At 60.0% G+C, this 1,795-nt stretch overlaps 1 non-coding gene across 1 annotated transcript; it reads right to left on the reverse strand.

The window, feature by feature from the left end:
- Positions 1-483: 483 nt before the first annotated feature.
- LOC124904137 (U2 spliceosomal RNA) lies at positions 484-674 on the reverse strand. Its single transcript, XR_007066010.1, has one exon. It is a non-coding gene; the product is annotated as a U2 spliceosomal RNA (small nuclear RNA).
- Between the last annotated feature and the right edge of the window lie 1,121 nt (positions 675-1,795).

A 1,795-nucleotide genomic window follows, 5' to 3' on the forward strand; every position in this document is an offset into this window, starting at 1 on the left:
GAAGAGAGAGAGAGAGGGAAAGAGAGAGAGAGACAGAGAGAGGAGAGAGAGAGAGAGAGAGAGAGAGAGACAGAGAGAGAGACAGAGAGACAGAGACAGACACAGAGAGACGGAGAGACAGAGAGAGAGAGAGAGAAAGAGAGAGAGAGAGAGAGAGAGAGAGAGAGAGACAGGAGAAAGAAGAACTCCGGGTGGGTCCCATTCCTTTAAAAGGTCGCCACCCACTCGACTGCCAAGCTGAGATCCTAAGGACCTCCCCAAAGGAGGAGGTCGTGGCCTTCCCAAAGCGCAGTAGCCACGGTGGAAACGACAGCGTGCCGCATAAGCCTACCGTCTACCGCCCGCACATCAGGAACCTCAAGGTACTTCAGGGAAGCAGTTAAGTCAAGCCGGCGCGTCACAGGCACTCGGCGTGCAAGCCGCCCCGCAGGTGCTACCGTCTCTTACCTCCCTCTACTTTTAGGAAACACGTTGTATCCCCGGAGGGGGTGCACCGTTCCTGGAGGTACTGCAATACCAGGTCGATGCGTGGAGTGGACGGAGCAAGCTCCTATTCCATCTCCCTGCTCCAAAAATCCATTTAATATATTGTCCTCGGATAGAGGACGTATCAGATATTAAACTGATAAGAACAGATACTACACTTGATCTTAGCCAAAAGGCCGAGAAGCGATGCGCTCGCCTTCGCGCCCGCCGTCACCGTCCCACTCTCATCCACATTCAAGTCGCGGTGAGAGCCCCAGCCTCGCTCCTTGCCCCATTCCCTCTGTCTCGTCCACAGCGCTATTGACGCCCTTACACTCTCGGGCTGATTTCTTATTCTCCGCCTTTGAAAAGGGAAATCTTACACCCGTGCTTCTTCCGGCGTTCCCGGGCTTTCATTTCGAATTTGCATGCCCCGCCCTTTCACAGAGGGCGTGGCCTCCGCCGTTGACTCCGCCCCCGGGGCCGCCTCTGCCTGGGGGAGCCGGGGCTCCGCTGGGGGCGACTTCCTTGTTCGTATCGAGCCAGCGAAAAGACAGAACCGGAAGAGACCGGGGGCGAAGGCGACAGGGGTCTGTGGAAGAGACCTGTCGGCGGAGAGCGGTCCACGTTTTCCTGGAGAAAGACGAGGCCCCAGGGCAGGAGCGCGGGCTGCGCTGGGCCTTTACTTCGCCGCCCGCGGGCGGGGAGACCGGCCCCGTACCCGAGGGGACGAGGGGACGAGGGGCCCATGCCCAGTCAGGGAAGCCGAAGGCCTGGAGGGGCTTCCGGGAGCAGGGGCTGGAGTTCCTCTGCCAGGCAGGAGGCTGGCACCAGACACCCGGCAGAGGGAGGCGGCGAGGGCCCAGCAAGGATTCTCCCCAGCCCCTGTGCCTGCGTCTCCTGCGGCTTCTGTGCGCGGACCGTGTCCTGTGCTGTGTAGGGAACGCTGCCTCTCTGCTCGGGACGTGGATTCCTTTCCCCTCCTCCTCGCCTGGCTACTTCTGACGCAGGTCGTCAGGACTCCGCTTGGGTGTCACCCGTGCAGGAAGCCTCCCTTAGTCAAGGGCCCTCGGCACCCGCCCCATATGTGACTAGCAGCCCTCCTGTGTATTTCATCGCGCCCCCGTTGTTTATATCAGCCATTCCACTCACCACCCTTCTGGGCAACCCTTTATCTCCCGCTCTGAAATCCCATCGCTGAGGGCTGGGACCCCTCCTCAGTGCTTATCCCTGTTTCCCCGCGCGAGTCTGGCGCCTGGCGTGTGGAAGGCGCTCAGTAAACGTTTGTGGAGCGAAGAAACGACGCAAAGGTGATGAGCACGACGCAGTT

Source organism: Homo sapiens, chromosome 17, assembly GCF_000001405.40.
Source record: "Homo sapiens chromosome 17, GRCh38.p14 Primary Assembly".
NCBI classification, from domain to species: domain Eukaryota; kingdom Metazoa; phylum Chordata; class Mammalia; order Primates; family Hominidae; genus Homo; species Homo sapiens.